Source organism: Homo sapiens, chromosome 16 (genome assembly GCF_000001405.40).
Source record: "Homo sapiens chromosome 16, GRCh38.p14 Primary Assembly".
Lineage (NCBI taxonomy): Eukaryota > Metazoa > Chordata > Mammalia > Primates > Hominidae > Homo > Homo sapiens.
Window position 1 is genome coordinate 23,834,584 of NC_000016.10, and position 19,506 is coordinate 23,854,089.

The 19,506-nt window shown below is 44.5% G+C and overlaps 1 protein-coding gene across 3 annotated transcripts in view, besides 10 other annotated features; it reads left to right on the forward strand.

Moving 5' to 3' along the window:
* Nucleotides 896-1,535: a silencer, noted in NCBI's record as "silent region_7282". NCBI's record gives its function as "represses an Ori minimal core promoter by ATAC-STARR-seq in GM12878 lymphoblastoid cells {active_cell/tissue: GM12878}" and the evidence as "EXISTENCE:reporter gene assay evidence [ECO:0000049][PMID:35858748]".
* Nucleotides 896-1,556: a biological region, named in NCBI's record as "H3K4me1 hESC enhancer GRCh37_chr16:23846913-23847460".
* Nucleotides 1,009-1,556: an enhancer, noted in NCBI's record as "H3K4me1 hESC enhancer chr16:23846913-23847460 (GRCh37/hg19 assembly coordinates)". NCBI's record gives its function as "activates a minimal SCP1, AML or CMV promoter by ChIP-STARR-seq in primed H9 embryonic stem cells {active_cell/tissue: H9 hESC(primed)}" and the evidence as "EXISTENCE:reporter gene assay evidence [ECO:0000049][PMID:30033119]".
* Nucleotides 1,400-19,506, forward strand: part of PRKCB (protein kinase C beta) — a 384,629-nt gene continuing 366,522 nt past the window's right edge. For 2 of the 3 annotated variants that reach the window (NM_002738.7, NM_212535.3), the window contains exons 1-2: nt 1,400-1,765; nt 2,792-2,823. In NM_002738.7, the coding sequence (NP_002729.2) occupies nt 1,593-1,765; nt 2,792-2,823 (205 nt within the window). In that variant the 5' untranslated portion in view covers nt 1,400-1,592. Of the gene's footprint in view, nt 1,766-2,791; nt 2,824-5,014; nt 5,377-19,506 lie in introns of those variants that run through there. The other variant, XM_047434365.1, reaches the window with a different exon arrangement.
* Nucleotides 1,557-2,102: an enhancer, noted in NCBI's record as "H3K4me1 hESC enhancer chr16:23847461-23848006 (GRCh37/hg19 assembly coordinates)". NCBI's record gives its function as "activates a minimal SCP1, AML or CMV promoter by ChIP-STARR-seq in primed H9 embryonic stem cells {active_cell/tissue: H9 hESC(primed)}" and the evidence as "EXISTENCE:reporter gene assay evidence [ECO:0000049][PMID:30033119]".
* Nucleotides 1,566-1,645: a silencer, noted in NCBI's record as "silent region_7283". NCBI's record gives its function as "represses an Ori minimal core promoter by ATAC-STARR-seq in GM12878 lymphoblastoid cells {active_cell/tissue: GM12878}" and the evidence as "EXISTENCE:reporter gene assay evidence [ECO:0000049][PMID:35858748]".
* Nucleotides 1,976-2,055: a silencer, noted in NCBI's record as "silent region_7284". NCBI's record gives its function as "represses an Ori minimal core promoter by ATAC-STARR-seq in GM12878 lymphoblastoid cells {active_cell/tissue: GM12878}" and the evidence as "EXISTENCE:reporter gene assay evidence [ECO:0000049][PMID:35858748]".
* Nucleotides 2,366-2,505: an enhancer, noted in NCBI's record as "active region_10589". NCBI's record gives its function as "activates an Ori minimal core promoter by ATAC-STARR-seq in GM12878 lymphoblastoid cells {active_cell/tissue: GM12878}" and the evidence as "EXISTENCE:reporter gene assay evidence [ECO:0000049][PMID:35858748]".
* Nucleotides 7,585-7,634: an enhancer, noted in NCBI's record as "active region_10590". NCBI's record gives its function as "activates an Ori minimal core promoter by ATAC-STARR-seq in GM12878 lymphoblastoid cells {active_cell/tissue: GM12878}" and the evidence as "EXISTENCE:reporter gene assay evidence [ECO:0000049][PMID:35858748]".
* Nucleotides 12,753-12,971: a silencer, noted in NCBI's record as "fragment chr16:23858657-23858875 (GRCh37/hg19 assembly coordinates)". NCBI's record gives its function as "represses an EF-1alpha promoter that drives an FKBP-Casp9 reporter gene in an ReSE screen in HepG2 liver carcinoma cells {active_cell/tissue: HepG2}" and the evidence as "EXISTENCE:reporter gene assay evidence [ECO:0000049][PMID:32094911]".
* Nucleotides 18,937-19,026: an enhancer, noted in NCBI's record as "active region_10591". NCBI's record gives its function as "activates an Ori minimal core promoter by ATAC-STARR-seq in GM12878 lymphoblastoid cells {active_cell/tissue: GM12878}" and the evidence as "EXISTENCE:reporter gene assay evidence [ECO:0000049][PMID:35858748]".

The following is a 19,506-nucleotide window of genomic DNA, read 5'->3' on the forward strand; positions in this document are numbered from 1 at the left end:
ATGAAAGTTACCAGATCTACATAGGGTTGTTGCGGGGGCTAAATAAGACAGCACAAGTACCTGATGCCCAGCAATCACTTGATATTTATTATTAAACACCTACTGGGTGTGAGTGGGGGTAAGAAGTGCCGACCTTTAAGTCTTCATTCATTCACTTGTTCATCCATGCCCTCACTCAATCAACCAATATTTACTGGGGTCTTGGGAGGTGTCAGGCACTGAGCTTGGTGCTGGGCGACATGGTGGTGAACAGCCCCCCTGCTCTCACAGAGCCTAGGTCTGGTGAAGGAGCTCACAGCCTAATGAAGCTCTGCGTTCCCAGAGTGGGGGACATGGTGGCAGTGGGTATCTTTAGGCCTTGTGCATGAACAGGGCGCTAAATAACATTGAATTACACATTGTAGACAATTATTACCCTTTCAGTTACCTTCAGATCACATCAAGGAGAGAGTCCTGGTTGGATAGTAATGTCTTTAACACCCCTCTAGCATTTATTAATTTCCTCTCTTAACAAATAAAAGATGACTTCAGTCGAAGATGCTTAGGACAGATGACGGCACCTGGAGATATTTTAATAATGTAGATACCTCTTGCTGTTCAAACTCAGACCAAAAGAGATAGGCTTTTTTTCCCCCAGAGGGTGCACAAATACGACCAGAATTTGTGAAGACGAGTCAGAAATGAATGAAATTTGGAAAAATATTGATCTACTGAAATCCTTCCTCCCCACACTATTAGCCCTATGTTACAGTTGGGGAAACGGAGTCGTTTTGCAGAGGGGATGGACAGAAGGTAGGGAGTTCTCTTCCAAACGTGCAGGAGGCAAGCAAAGCCAAGAATCTTCTCTGTGGTGGAGTTAGAGACATATAAAATAAAGATCGCTCCTCCCCTACCTCTGCAGAACGTGTGTGTGTATGTGTGTGTAAGTGTGTGCGGCCACAAGCCTTTCCGAATGAGTGACAGCGGGAGCCCATCCCTCCAGGAGACGCGTGCAGAATGACCAATGGGATGGATGGGGGTGGATGGGTACCAGTCTCCGCAGAGGCCGGGGTGGAATTCGCTGCGCCCCACCCCTTCCACCCGCTCCCCTTCGCCCCGTAGGTCTTTCCACTCTCGCTCCTCCCCTGGGCACATCTCCTGAACGCAGCCCCGGGGGCCGAGGACGGGGTGGGGTGGGGGGCGAGGCTCGGGTCCGACGACCCCGGGCTGCGGTCCCGGCGCTGCAGAGCTGCGGCTGTGCACGCTTAGCCGCGAGGCCCGCGGTAGCCCGGGCGCCGATATGTAAAGCAGCTGGCAGCGCTGGGCGGGGCCTGGGCGCGATGCAAATGAGGAGGGCGGGGCTGGCCCGGGGCTCCGCCTCCCTCCCCCGCAGCTGGGGCCAGCGGTGCCAAGCGCAGCTGGACGAGCGGCAGCAGCTGGGCGAGTGACAGCCCCGGCTCCGCGCGCCGCGGCCGCCAGAGCCGGCGCAGGGGAAGCGCCCGCGGCCCCGGGTGCAGCAGCGGCCGCCGCCTCCCGCGCCTCCCCGGCCCGCAGCCCGCGGTCCCGCGGCCCCGGGGCCGGCACCTCTCGGGCTCCGGCTCCCCGCGCGCAAGATGGCTGACCCGGCTGCGGGGCCGCCGCCGAGCGAGGGCGAGGAGAGCACCGTGCGCTTCGCCCGCAAAGGCGCCCTCCGGCAGAAGAACGTGCATGAGGTCAAGAACCACAAATTCACCGCCCGCTTCTTCAAGCAGCCCACCTTCTGCAGCCACTGCACCGACTTCATCTGGTGAGCGCGCGCGCGCAGGGCACCTTCCCGGGCCCCCGAGGGCAGCGCCGCGCCAGGGACCCCCTCTCCGCGCCCTCTGCGCCCTCCGCGCCCTCCGCACCCTGGGACCCCGCGTCTCCGGACTCCCGGCTCCGGACCCTGCTGCCCGGGACTCCCGGATGGACAGTCCTGCCGTTGCCCTGTCCCCACCCTGGTCCCAGACGGGCCGCCGCGGGGCGCCTCCTGCCCTCTCCTGCTCTCAGGCGCCTCTAGAGCGCCCAGGGGCGGCGTCGCGGGAGCCTTTGCTCCACCTGACTAGGAGCGCGCGGGGTCTGTGCCTGCCCTGGAGGGCAGCGCCTCGGGTGCTCTCCGACCCGGGGTTCCCTATCTCTCCGCCTGCTTCCGGGCGCGAGGAGCCCTCGCCCCCCACCCCTTGTTTCCGGGGGGGGCGGCGCCCTGGGTGTCCTTCTCTATCTCCCTGCGGGCATGGGACATCCTTTCTCACTCCTCTGTGCCTCCGGGCAGCGCCCTGTGTTATCTCCCATTGCCCCTCCCCGAGGGCCTGGGTTCCCCTTTCCACTCCTCGGTCACATCACTGCGGGCCCCTTTCTTCCCCAGTCCCTCCAGTAGTGGGGCATCCTTTCCTCCTTCCCAGTCCCCCTCCCAGAGGACACCACCGCCGCGGGGTCACTCTCGCCCTCCCTCTGAATGCGTCTTTATCTCTTCTCTTTTCCCGAGGGTGCTCGGGGCATCTATGGGTACATCTGTCGCCTGCCTTCAGCCCCTACCCCGACGGAAACGCTCCCCACTATCCCGCCACCTGGTGGTCGCAGCCTCCTCTCTTCTGCAGGAGTGAAGGCAGATGGGGGTTACAGCCGAGCTCCCACCTACCCCCACAAAGGCGGAAGACTCTTGGGCACCCGCCTGTGGCTGGGAGTTTGCACCTGGGGTACAGAGGCAGGGAGGAAGGCGGGTGACTCTGTGGGTAACTAGCTGGAGGCTGGGCCCCCCGGGCTGCCTGACATACACCTCCTTCTGCTTTTGCAGGGGCTTCGGGAAGCAGGGATTCCAGTGCCAAGGTAGGCTCTGGGGCTTTGGGGATGCTATTTGTGGGAAGAGAGGGTGAAAAATACTTTATAGAAGAAGTTACTGAGTTAGGCAGAGAGTGAAAGAATCACGTTGGTCGGAGTGACCTCCCAGGCTAGGAATTCTTCACCACAACAGGGTCCTTTCAAGGGGTGTGTGTGTGACTGGGGCCGATGGCGCTTGGGAGTCTTACATGCCAAGGAAGTTCACCTACCCTTCCTGCCTTCCCGGCTCTGGAAGAGTCAAAGCGGTCTCCTGAAGCAATCCTGGCATGGTCAGTTCCGCTGGGGGAGAAAGTGTTTTCCCGGGACGTTTCTGGGAGAACCTGTCCTCCTTAGTTCCCCTTTCTCTGCCCATGTCCCTTCCTTATCTCACCCAGGGAGGTTCTGCCTCTCCCTGCCTTGCAGAGGTCTCTGCAGGTGGCTGCCGCTCCTCTGCAGATGGTGCATCCCCTAGAAAGGCGACTGTGTTTGTCGCCTGGGCCTCCTCTCTCTCTGAAAGAAGTATTTCCAGAGGGAGTGTTTCTCAGATCCTGGTTTAAATCACCCTATCTTCTGGGTTGAAACAGAAAGGTCTCCAGGGCACTGGTTACCTGAGTTCTTGCATCTGGCTTGAGATCCTGGACTCTAACCAGGGGTATCAAACCTGCTGGTGGTGAGTTGATCACGTGTAAAGTGTCCCCCTCCCCCGTCTTTGGGGCTCATGTCTAAAAGACAGATTGCAAATTGGCTCTCCAGGACCAAAAGTTACCCGCAGCTCTGTGTAGCCCTTAGGGTGTCTTACTTGTGAATTTGATGTGAACGTTTTAGAACTGGGAGATTTCACATACACATCCTAATTTCCAACTTTAACTTTGCTGAGAAATGGTCTCACTTTCGCTTGAAAACAATCGTTTGGAGCTGAGAGCCGTCGTCGTAGATGGGGAACAGCCTTACCATTTTGTCTCAGTTGATCCCAGTGGGGAACACTTCACCCATTTCTGGCCCCTGTGGGCATTTAAGTTTGCAACCTCTCATCTGGAAAGTTTGTGTGTTATGTTTTCTTTTTAATTTAAATTTTAATTTTTCACTCTTGGGCTTGGTAAGATTGAGTTTGGTAAGAAACGGCACATTTCTGGGGTATTGTATCTTTAGGGGCAAAGTGACCACCACCCTGGTGAGCTGGGTTTAAATCAAAAGAAAGTATTTGAGTGTGGAAGAGTCTGACGTGATTTAGCACTGACTGACAGTTTTGTGGCTGCACCTCCACCCTCCAGGGAAAAGTAAAGTGATCCCTAGTGAGTGTAGGTGGCATCGTCAGTGGTGCAGAATGTTTGCTTGCTGGCAGCATGGCACTGTGCTCCTCTGAGACTCTTGCATACTCTTCTGAGATCGGGGTCCCGGTGGGCTCAGTGAGCCCTGCCAACCTACCCAGCCTGTCTTACCAAGATTTGGATCCTCTGCACCACACCAGAGGACTCCTCAAGTCTCTTTAAGTGGCAACAACTTAGGCCCTGGTGCAAACAAATTTGGATTGTTTTCTAGAACTTTGACCCCTCAAACAAAATGCCAATGGTGTCTTGGCACCGGAATGTGTAATTTCTTCTTTGAGGTTGCCTTTCACTTCCATGAATCAGTTTCAGTCTTTGTCTCTTGCTGAGATCGGGGGCGATTTTTAAACATTTTTACCACGGATCTTCTATGCCACCTGCTCTGCTGTTATTGATGGATGGGAAAGTCACTTTGGAATGTGCAAGGCATGACACATTTGAAATAGGAGATCCTTTAACTCAAAGTCTGGAAGATAATAGGAATTTTCTGATGTTAAGAGAAAAAGGCAGAATTAAAGTTTGTAATGAAATATGGGCGCTCTAGAGATAGGAGTGTCTTTTTTTTTTTTTTGACAGGGTCTCACTCTTTTGCCCCGGCTGGAGTACAGTGGTATGATCAGAGCTCACTGCAGCCTCAAACTCATGGGCTCAAGTGATCCTCCTGCATCAGCCTCCTGATTAATTGGGACTACAAGTACGCACCACCATGCCTGGCTAATTTTAAAACAACTTTTGTAGAGAAGGGGTCTTGTGATGTTGCAAGACTGGTCTTGAACTCCTGGCTTCAAGCAACCCTCCCACCTCAGCCCCCAAGTGTTGGGATTATAGGTGTGAGCCACTATGCCCCTCTGGAGTGTCTATTTTTTAAATTGCCTTTCTTTTTCTCTTCCCTGCCTCCCCACCAAGAGGCAGCGTAGAGAAGTGGGCATTTGCACAGGCTACCAGGCAAGTCCCTGTCGGTCTGAATCCTAGCTTTGAGACTTCCCAGGCATATTACTTAGCCTCTCTGTATTTCAGCCTCCTTGTCTATAAAACGGAGTCAGTAACAGTACCATAGTGTGGCTGAGCAGCTCCAACTCATTGCAATATCCAAGATTCTTGGACCAGAGCTTGACACAGAGTATGCTCAGAAAATATCTGCTCTTATGATTGTCCCCAGACTACCCCAATGGTGGGGCAGCTGGCACGAGAGAAGACTGGCTCTGCAGGGTTGCTTTGCTATGGAACTGCCTGCCAGGTAAGAGTCAAAACTCAGCCATGAACTTCTGGTCACTCTGTGTAGCTGCTTTGACAGCATATTCCATTTGGGCAGCAGTAGGGAGGAGTGAGGGGAGGGGCAGATTGGCAGTCCCTGAAATTGAGATGTTTAGAATGGGAACATATAGGAAAGAGGGAAATTTATCCCTGGTACTCAGCATTGCCTGGGACTAATTCTGGAACCACTGAGGAGTTCCTTAGTATCTGATTGTTCTTGGTATCAGATATTTCCTCTGAAAGTAAATCCACTTACGATGGAATCAACAGTTTATACAAAACACATAAGGTTTTATGATCTCACTTAAGTCAGCAATCCAGAGCCCAGGGCCTCAGGTTCCTTTGAGTTTTCTGCTCCACTATCCCTGGGGAGTGACAATTATCTCATGGTCCAAAAAGGATGCTAGACGCTGGAGTCCTCACACCCTTCTTTCAGCTAGCAGGAAGGAAGAAAGGGGTAAAGAAGGGCATATAGCACATGCTCGGTGTCACTTGTTTAAGTTGCTCAAGATCCTTCTACCTACATCCTCTTAGCTAGGGTTTAATCACATACCCACACCTTGCTGTGAGGGAGCATGTGGGAAATGTAGTGTTTATTTCAGGCAGCCACTATTTAGAGGATGTTTCCATTTCAAAAATACAAGCAGAGAGAGGATGTTGTCTCTGCCACTCTGGTAGGAGGTGTGTAGGATGATCGCAAGGCAAAGAAACCATTGAGAGTAACCTTCAGGCTCTATTACATTGTCATGGAAATTGGGGACACTGCTATGGGTTGGGAGAGGAAGGATGGAAAACTCATAAACCTTGGGAAATTATGGATTTCTGTGTGCTCAGGGGAGCTTAAGAATAGATTTTCTTGCTTTCGTATGATGATAGGACGAAACTCTAGGTTGACTGCCTCATAATTTCTCCCTTTTTGTTTCCACTCTGTCTATTTCTTATAAAACCACTCTCTGGGAGGTAATTTAAGAATGTGTTTGATGACAGGGAACTGGGGCTGAAGATCCCTATTGTAAAATTGCCTAAATTCTAGAGTAGAAGTGGAACTCCTTTGACAAGCAAGGCAGATTTCTCTCTATGGCATTTTTTTCTTTGCCTTTTATTTATTTATTTATTTATTGAGACAGAGTCTCACTCTGTTGCCCAGGCTGCAGTGCAGTGGCACCATTTCGACTCACGGTAACCTCCATCTCCTGGGGCTCAAGCGATTCTTCTGCCTCAGCCTCCCAGGTTGCTGGGATTACGGGGGCCTGCCACCACGCCTGGCTAATTTTTGTATTTTTAGTAGAGATGGGGTTTCATCATTTTGGCCAGGCTGGTCTTGAACTCCTGACCTCAGGTGATCCACCCGCCTCGGACTCCCAAAGTGTTCAGATTACAGGCATGAGCTACAGTGCTGGCTGTTTCTGTGGCATTCTTTACAGGAACTTAGGACCTGCATTTGAGCTTTAATTTTAATTAAAGTCTTCTCTAAGAAGATTTTTGGTAGAGAGAAAAACCTTCTTCTTTTATTTTAAATTTTGTTTTTAGAGACAGGGTCTCACTGTGTGGCCCAGGCTGGAGGGCAGTGACATGATCATAGCTCACTGCAGCCTCAAACTCCTGGGCTCAAGTGATTCTCCTGCCTCAGTGTCCTGAGTAGCTGGGACTGCAGGTGTGTGTCACCACGGCCCTTTTTTTTTTTTTTTTTTTTTTTTGAGACGGAGTCTTACTCTGTCATCCAGGCTGGAGTGCAGTGACGTGATCTTAGCTCACTGCAACCTCCACTTCCCAGGTTCAAGTGATTCTCGTGCCTCAGCCTCTTGAGTAGCTGGAACTACAGGCACGTGCCACCATGCCCGGCTAATTTTTATATTTTTAGTAGAGGTGGGGTTTCGCCACGTTGGTTAGGCTGGTCTCGAACTCCTGACCTCAGGTGATCTGCCCGCCTTAGCTTCCCAAAGTGCTAGGATTACAGGTGTGAGCCACTGAACCTGGCCAAATACATATTTTTTAATTTTAAAATTTTTTGTAGAGATAGTGGATCTTGCTTTGCTGCCTGTGCCTGGTCTCAAACTGCCAGCCTCAAGCCAGGAGTCTCATTCTGCTTTGGCCTCCCAAAGTGTTTGTTGTTTTTGTAAAGGAAGTGACTTTGGTAGAAATAGAGAGGCAATAAAATATAGAGATTCAGAATTCTTAGCAATGAGTTGGAGTCCAGTAGAATTGGGTATGTATCTCTGATGGAGCCGCTTACTCCCTGTGTGACCTTGGGCAAGTCGTCCCCCAGCAGCAACTTTGGTCTCCTCATCTGTAAAATGGGGATAATAGCACCTAACTCATAGGGTTATGGTGAAGAATAATGAGGTGGTGCATGAGAAATAGCCACAGCAAGTATCAATGACTCTAAGTGAGACCATCAGTATTACTTGATTAGCTGTAGGAAACTGTGTCAAAGTGGGACGGAGTTCATTCTGGAACTTGTTAAATGACTAGGCCTCTTTCATGTACTTAGATAGTTTCTCTTCTTGGGTATATTTCTTCCTGGGTATTGGGTAACACCAGTGAGTGCTCAGTTCAGTGTCTGGGCCCAGAAACCCATGCCTGGTTAGCATTGTCTTTTCTTCTGAGAAAGATCTGAACTTGCCATGGACTCTCTAGAAAAACCCCAGTGTACAAATTTTCTATGAAAAGCTAGAATTGATGATTATAATGAGTAAGTTGGCTCTTCCTTTTCCCATGTAGATTAGAAAACATGTTTTTAAATCTTCTAATTGAAATTATTCTTAAAAAACCCCAAAGTCTGACATGACTCCAACTATTGTTGTTTTCATCAATATCAATCCTATCAAATCAAAGTTTATTTTAGTGTGTAATTAACACATGTAGACTAGAAAAGTTTGCACTTTTTTATATCACAAAAAAGGTTAATTTTATTTTCTATGGAAAGCTAGAATTGATGATAATGAGTAAGTCAGCTCTTCTTTTTCCCATGTAGATTAGAAAACAGGTTTTTAAATCTTGTAGTTGAAATTATTCTTAAAAAACCCCAAATCATGACATGAATCCAACCATTCTTGTTTTTATCAATATTCACCCTATCAAATATAAAGTTTATTTTAGTGGGTAATTAACATGTGTAGATTAGCATAGCATATGTGTATTTATATAACAAAAAATGAATCAAAAGTTAATTTTATTTTGGGCAGTGTTCCCTAGAAACTTATAATATGGCCCCATGCACTTCAGGTTGAATTTTCTTAGTAAAATCATAAAGAGGTCCATTTTTTCAAAAAATCACCAAGTCAGGCTGCAAGTTTAGAGGTTACTTCTATTGTTTCACTTCTCTTTCTTCCCAGAAGCAGACCCCAGAGACCTGTGAGCCAAACTCCACTCACCTTTTAGCTTATTCTAAATGTGTCCTGCGGGCTTCTCTGTGAATAAAAGGCAGAGGCTTTTTGACTTCGTGTTTGATGATTTGGCTTTTTTCTTTTTTTTACCACCTGACGGGGGATTTCAGGCTCAATGTCCCAATCGAAATAAGAATCTTTGAGTGGGTTAACATTGAGTCTTAAAAAGGAGGGCTGATTTGTTGGAGAGGCAACAACGAATTCATTTTTCACTGTAGAGCACTCAGGAGGAGTCTGAAGCTTTGTCACTGGGCAACAGAATGCCTTTCTAAGTAAATATGGAAAATATGACCTTTGAAAATCTAGCTGATATGATATATAGATTCTTAGGATATAATTTTTAAAAAATATATTATTTCCAAGCACTAATGATACTCCAGAGATACTGCCCACAACCAGATGCAGCATGTTTATAGTGTATCTAGGCCAAAAAAAAAAAAAAAAAAAAAAAAAAATAGAAGATACAGAAGAAGGCAATTGGTCAAAAGATTAACTGAAGGTTTGAAAATAATTTTATACACATTTGTACTGTTGGGGTCTCTCTTCTCTCTGTCTCTGCTTATCCTTCTGTCTCTGTCTCTTTGTTTCCATCACACATGCACACACACACACGTGTATACACACACATATATGTAAGTAGATCAATATGTTATAATTTTCACAATACGCATCTTCTTTTGCTACTTTTCAGATACAGGTCATTAAATTACTAAGTATAATTTAAAATATATGGTCTGGCCTTTTAACTCTGCAGTTCAATTAATTCTTGGGTAGATAGGGGGATCTGCTGAAAAGTTTGTCTCTGACGCCTTCAAAGGTAAGTCCCTTATGTTCTGGCATTTGCTCTAATAACATGAATTCTTTGACTTCATTCATCCAATCTCTTCATTGAAATTGTGTGAAATTCCATAGATAGAATGTTAGCCTTTTTACAGAGAATACAACATCCACAGTGTTTACATATGGCATTTGGAGGTGTGATGGCTGCTTGAAAATCCAGTAGGAAATTTGTCTATTCACCACATACATTCATTTATTCATCCATCCATCCCTCCATTTATCCACCCACCTCTCTATTCATCATCCGTTTTTCTGTTTATCTATTTGTCCATCCATGCATCCATCCCTTCACTCCATTCTCCTTCTAAAAGTTCTTTTTTTTGAGACGGAGTCTTGCTCTGTCGCCCAGGCTGGAGTGCAGTGGTGCAATCTTTGGCTAACTGCAAGCTCCACCTCCCAGGTTCACGCCATTCTCCTGCCTCAGCCTCCCGAGTAGCTGGGACTACAGGCGCCCACCACCTCGCCCGGCTAATTTTTTGTATTTTTAGTAGAGATGGGGTTTCACCATGTTAGCCAGGATGGTATCGATCTCCTGACATTGTGATCCTCCTGCCTCGGTCTCCCAAAGTGCTGAGATTATAGGCGTGAGCCACCGCGCCCAGTCTCTTTTTTTTGTTTAGACAAACTCTCACTCTTTCGCCCAGGCTGGAGTGCAGTAGTACGATCTTGGTTCACTGTAACCTCCGCCTCCCAGGTTCAAGTGATTCTCCTGCCTCAGCCTCCCAAGTAGCTGCGATTACAGGTGCCCACCACCTCGCCCAGCTAATTTTTGTATTTTTAGTAGAGACAGGGTTTCACCATGCTGGCCAGGCTGGTCTCTAACTCCTGACCTCAAGTGATCTGCCCACCTCAACCTCCCAAAGTGCTGGGATTACAGGAGTGAGCCACCACACCTGGCCTCACTGATTAAGTTCTATGTGTCAAGTTCTATTTGTCAGGAACTATTTTAGGTGACAGAATACAATGGTGAATGAAACTGAGAAAATTTCTGTTGTCATGGAGCTTATGATGTAGCGGGGGGAGATAAGACATTCTACAGATCATTTCACTCATATTTAACCTCATTTTTATTAGGTACTTTGAAGAAAATGGACTGGGTACCGGGAGAATATATAATGGGAAGCTAACCTATGTAATGGCTGGGGATGCAGTCAGTGGTCTGGGAATTAAAAAAAAAAAGCCCAACTTCTCATTCTCATTTTCTGAGGTAACTGGAGAAAGTCTGAGTTGTCAAGGAACTAGAGCTAAAAATCTGTATTGTAAAACTGCCCATATCCTGGATAATATATGCAACAGGGCTGAAGGCAGTGGCTCATGTCTGTAATCACAGCACTCCGGAAGGCCAAGGCAAGAGGATTGCTTGAGGCCAGGAGTTCGAGACCAGCCTGGGCAACATAACAAGACCCTATCTCAATTAAAAACAAAACAAAATATGTGCAGGAGACTTATCTTTGTGACATTCTATGGAGAAACCGTAAATATTTATTTGTATCATGGCTGCAAGTAAGATGAGTAAGTATTTGGTAGAACTAGCCTGTTACCTTGAGATGGCTTCTTTCCCAGTTTGACAGAGAACTTCATCTCCTCTTAGTTAATAACTCAGATAATGAGCTGACTTCCTTTTTGTTTAGGGTTTACAGTTTGAGGTGGCTGTTCTAAAGAAGAAAAATCAGACAATTTCAGAGGTGGAGGAGCAAGTCTGGGCCAATAGATTGAAAATAAATAAAAAGAGAGAGCACGGCATTTCAGTGAGAGGCATTTTGAGCTGAAAGTCAGTTTTCAGGGAGCACAAGATTACTCACATTGCCTGCCAAATACCTTCCTCACCCTGTGTCCATCTCTGATATATTACAACTCTTCATTCCTTTGGCTTAGGCAGTATTTTCTCTTGTTCAGAAGATACTTTTTAAGTAGTTTAACAATAAACAGTGTTGACTCACTTATAGAGAAAGGACTTTTGTCAAGTCTGTCTTTCTGATTTCATTAAGGAGAAAGTCTCAGTTGGTGTTAATATATCTTTAACAACCCTCTAACACAAATCTGGGCACTTAGTAGATATCTGTTGAATATTCTTTTTTTTTAATTATAAAGGAACTACAGGGAATTATGAGAATGTAAAACTATGGGCTGGGTATGGTGGCTCATGCCTGTAATCCCAGCACTTTGGGAGGCTGAGGTGGGTGGATCATCTGAGGTCAGGAATTCGAGACCAGCCTGGCCAACATGGTGAAACTCCTTCACTACTAAAAATACAAAAATTAGCCAGGTGTGGTGGCATGTGCTTGTAGTCCCAGCTTCTCGGGAGGCTGAGGCAGGAGAATCGCTTGAACCCGGGAGGCAGAGGTTGCAGTGAGCCAAGATTGCGCCACTGCACTCCAGCCTGGCGACAGAGCGAGACTCCGTCTCAAAAAAAAAAAAAAAAAAAAAAAAGTTAGTTTCTACCTATAAACCAACTTTTTTTTGAGTCAGCGAGGGTACACTTTTACCTAATGTTGAGCCTGGTTCTGTTCTACCCTGAGCTTGATTCTGTACTGGCTATTCCTCCTTGTGAACAGAGAAGGGAAGTTCAGTGTCTTTCCTGGAAATTTTTGGTGTTGTAAGGATGCTCAGTGTTCCTGAAGGTTGAGAGGAACAGCAAGGACAGGATCTGGTAGAGATGTCGCTTTTATTCAGAAGTGCTAAGCTGTTAATCATTACCATGGTTGTTATTACCTTTTAATTGCCATTTGTCCTGCTTGTTTGTGGTCTCCTGGGCATCTCCTTCCCCCTCAGCCCACAAGCAGAAAGTTGCCCTACAGAGTCAGGAGGAGAACTCAAACCCAGACCAGAGAGCTCTGATCCACTCCTATGGGTCTTGGAACTGGCTAAGTAGATGGAAATTAACTGATTCAAGATATGCAACACCATTAGTTCAACCATAGCTGTGTTCCTGGGGTGAATTCTAGCTTTCTTTTTTCTTTCATCTTGCTACTTCCCAGAGACCAGACTTTGGGCCTCTAGGGAAGGAGTATCAAATTGGGCTTGAGAGTTCAAGCTCAAAACAGACCTGATTTTAAATCTTGGTTCTGCTTCTCCATATCTTCATGACCTTTGGGTGGGTAAAATATGATCCTGCCTCTATCTATCTATCTATCTATCTATCTATCTATCTATCTATCTATCTATCTATCTATCTGTCCATCTATCTATCTATCCATCCATCCACCTATCCACCAATACATCCATCCGTCTGTCCATCCATCCATCCATCCATCCATCCATCCATCCATCCATCCACCCAGCTATTCTTCCATTCATTCATCCAAACATCCACCCATCCACCCAGCTATTCTTCCATTCATCCATCCAACCATCCATCCATCCATCCATCCATCCGTCTGGCTATCCAACCGTTTTTCCATTCATTTAATATATATTTATTGGATGCCTACCACATATCAGGTACTGTTCTAGGCATTGGAACTAGAACAGTGAACAGAACAGCATCGCTGGCTTCATGGAATTTACATTCTAGTAGAATAACAGTAATAAGTGAATAACATAGAACGAATATATTGTATAATGTCAGGTTGCCATATGGGCTTTGAAGAGAAGTAAGACACTGTCCTCACCCTTAAAGATCTTCCTGGTCTTTTAAAAGGAGAACAGCACATGGCCAATTAGTTCTGAGACATAATGTAAAGTGCTACACCAAGAATGTAAAAACACTTTGGATGGCATCCCTACTCCTCCTCGGACCGGTGAAGATTCCACAGAGGAGGTGACATTTGGGAACAGTCTTACAGCAGGAGTGGGAGTTCCCGGATTGACAAGGGGATGAGGGCAGGGGAGGGTGTTTCAGGCACAGGACAGGACAACGCAGTTGAGATAGTGAGGAGAGAGAATAGGGCACATGCAGGGAACAGGAAGAAGAGGGTGTGAGGGAGGGAGGAGCAGGTGGGAGGTGAACGTCATATCAGAGGGGTTGGCCCCTGTGAAGGCAGTGTAGTGACTAGGAAGTGGTTGTTGTCACTGTTTTAAAGTGGGATGTGTGGGGGTGAGTGAAATGGCCAAATGTTTGAAAAAGAGGAGCATGAGATGCCTTTGGCAACAATACTTGCCATGACTCAAATCCTGAAATTCTAGGCCTGCAGTGATGGAAGTCAGGCAGGAGAAACTGAAATGGCCATTTAGAAGCAGTGGGGGTGCCTTACCGGAGCACCTCGTGGCTGTTGCTATTTTTCACACCCTAAAGAGACATTTGGAATTTCATGTCAGTCATATTGTTGATTGTTCTATTTTGAGGGTGGTTACTAGTTATTTTTATGGTTCTAACAATAGGGACATCTCTCTTCACTGTATCCTTAGACGCGGAGGGCCGTAGAAATGAATTTTCCTCTGAAAGGCATCCTCCCACTCCCTCTCCCTCTCCACTGCTGTCACCCAGTGGGTACGTGTTTATTGAGCACATGCTGCACATGGTGGTGAAGAGTTGGTGTTTTGGAGAAAGAAAGGCTTCGATTTAAATCTTGACTTCTTGCTGTGGGACCTTAAGCAAGTTACTTAACCTCTTCGAGCTTCTGTTTTTTCATAGCTAAAAGGATATAATAATAAAACCTACTTTATGTGAAGTGTTTCTTAGCACCCTACCTGACATATATACAGTAAGCACTTGATAAATGGTAGCTATTTCTGTTCTTCCTAGGACTGGGCACTGTCCTTGTCCTTACTGAGTTTATAATCCTGTTGGGGAGGCAAGATGAATGCTCTTGAATCAAGGAGACGACGCAAGAATGGATGTGCTTACATGTCGTGGTCAATAGCATTAGCTGCACCTTACAGTGGATCTTAGAGAGAAATGCTTGGTTGGGGCCGGAGAGGTGATTTGAGTGTGAGTGAGCACAGTGCTTTCTGAGAAACCCTTTCCTGGCCTGCAACACTTTAATTTGTGGGAAACCTCAGGAAGTAGAATTGCAATCTGTGATCGCCCCATCGGCTGACCTCACTTCAAAAATGTATTGGTAGCATTTCAACTTTAAATAGATTTGTGACCATTTCACCCTTCTAAATTTGGGTTCCCTTCACCCTTTGGGTGGAGTGTTTATATCCCTTTTCGGTTGAAGAAGCTGACAGATAGTGTAGGTGAAGGTGGAGGGTGAAGTCTGAAGGACGGTCGCTTGTCTCATTGGGATAGTCAGGGCAGTGATTTTTGTGGGATGGCCCTATATTGAAGATCTTCTTTCCCTCCCTAAAGGTAGAGACCATTCTTTAGAGTTTAGTGAGTGCTGCAAATGAAGATTTGATCGTTATTTGGATTTTTTTGCATGTGTATGTGTGGATTTTTTTTGGTAGTTATCCAGATACATTTTGTGGCAAAATTTATGGCTGAGGGTATTGATAATTGTTTCTGAGACAAACAGTGCACTTAGGGAAACAGGATTGACATATAGAGTAGAGAAGGACTTCTTTTTATTTCAGTTGGATATTCATCTTTTGGTGGCTAGCTTTTTTTAAAAAAACTATTAATATTATTTTTGATTGACAAATCATAATTGATGGGGTACAATGTGATGTTTTGATACATATATACAATGTGTCATGGTTAATTCAAACTAATTAATATAACCATCAGCTTGTTTACTTATTTTTTATGGTGAGACATTTGAAATTTACTTAGTTATTTGAAATATATGATACACTTATTATTGACTATGTTACCCTGCTGTGCAATAGATCTCCAAACCTATTCCCCTTGTCTATCTGAAACTTTGTATCCTTTGATCAACAACTCCTTCCCTCATCCCAGATTCTGGTAACCATCCTCCTACTCTCTACTTCTATGACTACGACTTTATTAGATTCCACATATACGTGAGATCATGCTGTATTTGTCTCTGTGTTTCTGGCTTATTTTACTTAGCATAATGTCCTCCAGATTCATGTATATTGTCACAAATGATATAATTTCTCTCTTTTTTTTAAAGTCTGGGTAGGATTCTATTGTGTGTATACACCATACTTTCTTTATTCATTCATCCTCTGTTGAACACTTAGGTTGATTCCCTATCTTTGCTATTGTAAGTAGTACTGCAACAAACATGGGAATGCACATATTCTTTGACATATTGATTTCAGTTGCTTTAAATATATGCCCAGAAGTGGGATTACTTAAAAAAAATTTAATTTAATTTTTTTTAATTTGAGACTGAGTTTTGCTCTTGTTGCCCAGGCTGGAGTACAATGGTGCGATCTCAGCTCACTGCAACCTCCACCTCTCAGGTTCAAGACATTCTCCTGCCTCGGCCTCCCAAGCAGCTGGGATTACGGGCATGCACCACCACGCCTGGCTAATTTTGTATTTTTGCTAGAGACGGGGTTTCACTGTGTTGGTGAGGCTGGTCTCAAACTCCTGACCTCAGGTGATCCACCTGCCTTGGCCTTCCAAAGTGCTGGAATTACAGGTGTCAGCCACCATGCTCGGTGGTAGTTCACTTTTTTGTTTTTTTGAGAAACTTTTAGTACTGTTTTTCATAAGGCTATACTAACTTACATTCCCACCAACAGTGTATGGGTCCCCTTTTCTCTACATCTTCTCCAACATGTTATTTTTTATCTTTTTGATAAAAGCCATTCTAACAGGTGTGAGGTGATATCTCACTGTGGTTTTAATTTGCATTTCCCTAGTGCTTAGTGTGCTGAACATTTTTTCAAGTACCTATTGGCCATTTGTGTGTCTTCTTTTGAGTAATTTCTGTTCAGATCCCATTTTTAAATCAGGTTATTTGTTTACTTGCTATTGAGTTGTTTGAGTTCTTTGTATATTTTGGATATTAACTTCTTATCAGATACAGCATTTGCAAATATTTTTCCCATTCTGTGGGCTGTCTCTTCACTTTGTTAATTGTTTCCTTTGCTGTGAGGAAGCTTTCAGTTTGATGCCCTCCCATTTGTCTCCTTTTGCTTTTGCTTAATCATTGCCCAAACCAATGTTGTGGAGTTTTTCCCTTATGTTTTTCTCTAGCAGTTTTATAGTTTCAGGTTTTAAGTCTTTAATCAATTTTGAGTTGATTGTGTATGTGGTTTGTAAGATAAAGGTCTAATTGCATTCTTCTACATGTGGATATCCAGTTTTCCCAACACCATTTACTGAAGAGACTGTCCTTTCCCTCATTGTGTGTTTTTGGCACCTTTATCAAAAATCAGTTGGCTATAAATGTGCAGGTTTATATCTGGGCTTTCTATCCTGTTCCATTGGTTGATGCATCTGTTTTTATGCTAGTACCGTGCTGTTTTGATTACAATTGCTTTATAATGTATTTTGAAATTAAGTCGTGTGATTCCTCCAGCTTTGTTCTTTTTGCTCAATGTTGTCTTGGCTATTTGGGGTCTTTTGTGGTCCCATATGAACTTAGGGATTGTTTTTTCTATTTCTGTGAAAAATGACATTGGAATTTTGATAAGAATTGCACTGAATCTGTAGATTGCTTTGGCTAGTATGGACATTTTCACAATATTAATTTGTCTAGTCCATGAACACGGAATATCTTTTCATTTATTTGTGTTTTCCTCAGTTTCTTTCATCAGTGTTGTATAGTTTTCAGTATACAGATAGTTTGCTTCCTTGGATACATTTACACCTAAGTAATTTTTTTTTTGCTGCTATTGTAAATTAGTTTGTTTTCTTAATTTTCTGGTCTGGTAGTTTGTTATTAGATAAGCTAGTATATAAAATTAGAATAATTAGATAATCTAATATAGAAACACTACTGATTGTATGTTGGTTTTGCATCCTGCAGTTTTATTGAATTTGTTGATCAGTTCTAACAGCTTTTTTAGTGGATTCTTTAGGGTTTTCTGTATATAAAATCACCTTGTCAACAAATAGAGACAAGTTCACTTCTTCCCTTCCTATTAGGATGCCTTTTATTTCTTTCTCTTTCCTAATTACTCTGGCTGGGACTTCCAGTACTCTATTGAAAAGAAAGGGTGAGAGTGGGCGTCCTGATCTTAGAGGAAAGGCTTTCAACTTTTCAGTGCTGAGAAGGATGTTAGCTACGGGTTTGTCATAATAGAGCCCATAGTGTTTATTGTGTTGAGTGCATTTCCTTTATACCTTATTGCTGAGTACTTTTTTCATGAAAGAATGTTAATTTTTTTCAAGTGCTTTTTTTTCCTGCATCTATTGAGATGATCATATGATTTTTATCCTTTATTTTGTTAACATGGGTATCACATTTATTGATTTCTATGTGTTGAACCATCCTTGCATCCCAGGGAGAAATCCCACTTGATCATGGTGAATAAAATTCTTTTAATGTGTTCTTCAATTTGGTTTGCTAATATTTTGTTGAGGATTTTTCCATCTATGTTCATCAGGGATATTGGTTTATAGTTTTCTTCTCTTGTGTTTTTGTTTGGCTTTGGTATGATAGTCTTGGATAATGAGTTTAGAAATACTCCCTTAATTTTTTGGAAGAGTTTAAGAAGAATTGATTGACATCCAGATCAAGAAACAGAACATGCTGGTACCCTAGAAGCATCATCTCACAATCCCTATCAACCGTATCCTTCAGGAGTAATCACTATCCTAACCTCTATCACCTATGATTACTTTCATCTGTTCCTGAACTTATGCCCACTTTTCTGTTATGCAACTCCATTGACTTATGCCCATTTTTCTGTTAAAAAATTTAAAAAGTGCAGAGCTTTAAGTTACTGAGGCTGAGCCTGAGAAATGTTAGCTGGGACTTTTTTAGTTTTGCATAGAGGAAGTGAAATCCGTATGGGAGACAGGCACCTTCTGGAATCACCCATTGGGGAATGGTGCCGTTTGCCTTCTTTGGGGAACATCTGCTTCCTGTTTCAATGTTGCCCATCGGTTCCAGACTGTTCAACAAGGAAGCCAGGGCATTCTGACAGTTTTTCCACACAATAATTTAGCTCTGTAAATACTAGGAAAACTTGAGCTCACAAACTATTTTTAGGGCTTAACATTTCAAAAATTCTGTATTAGTAAGAATCTATTAAAGCTGCTGTAACAGACAAACCTTGAAGTCTCTGTGGCTTGACAGAAGGGAGTTTATTTCTTACTCATGTCACTAACCAGTGCAGGTGGTCCTGGTCAGGACATCTTCCACAGAGTCACACAGGACCCCAGGGTCCTCCCCATTGGGCCAGTGGAAGGGGAAAGGGAAATTGAGAAAGCACACTCATTTCACAACAACTTCAGCTGGGGAAGGAAGTCACATCACTTCTGCTCACATTCTATTTGCCAGAACCCAGGCAAAGAGGCAACCAACGGAAGGGGGTCCTGGGACATGTCGACTAGCTCTATGTCCAGGAGGAAAAGAAAACAGGTTTTGATGAACTCAGTAAATCTCACTCCAGTCTCCAAAGCCATAATTTCCTTTGTCTTTCTTTGCGGTGATGTATCTAGTTTTATCTCTCACTTGACTGGTAAAACTAAGATGCAAAACTCTGGACGTCTTTATCTTATCAAACATAGCAGGGAAAGAGTGAGTTCTATTTGTGTTCCTAAAAGTGAAATAAAGAAGCACTTTTCTTGTTTTTAGTTATTAGAACAATCTGGCTCTTGTCAGACTTTCTAGTTTTTCAATCAGTCAGAATTCTTGCCTCTCTGGTTGCCTGTTGTATTAATCCATTCTCATGCTGCTAATAAAGGCATAACTGAGACTGGGTAATTTATAAAGGAAAGAGGTTTAATTGACTCACAATTCAGCATGGCTGGGGAGGCCTCACAATCATGGCAGAAGGCAAAGGAAGGTCAAGGCACTTCTTACATGGCAGCAGGCAAGAGAGCGTGCACAGGGGAACTGCCCTTTATAAAACCATCAGATCTCGTGAGACTTATTCACTATCACGAGAACAGCATTAGAAAACCCACCCCC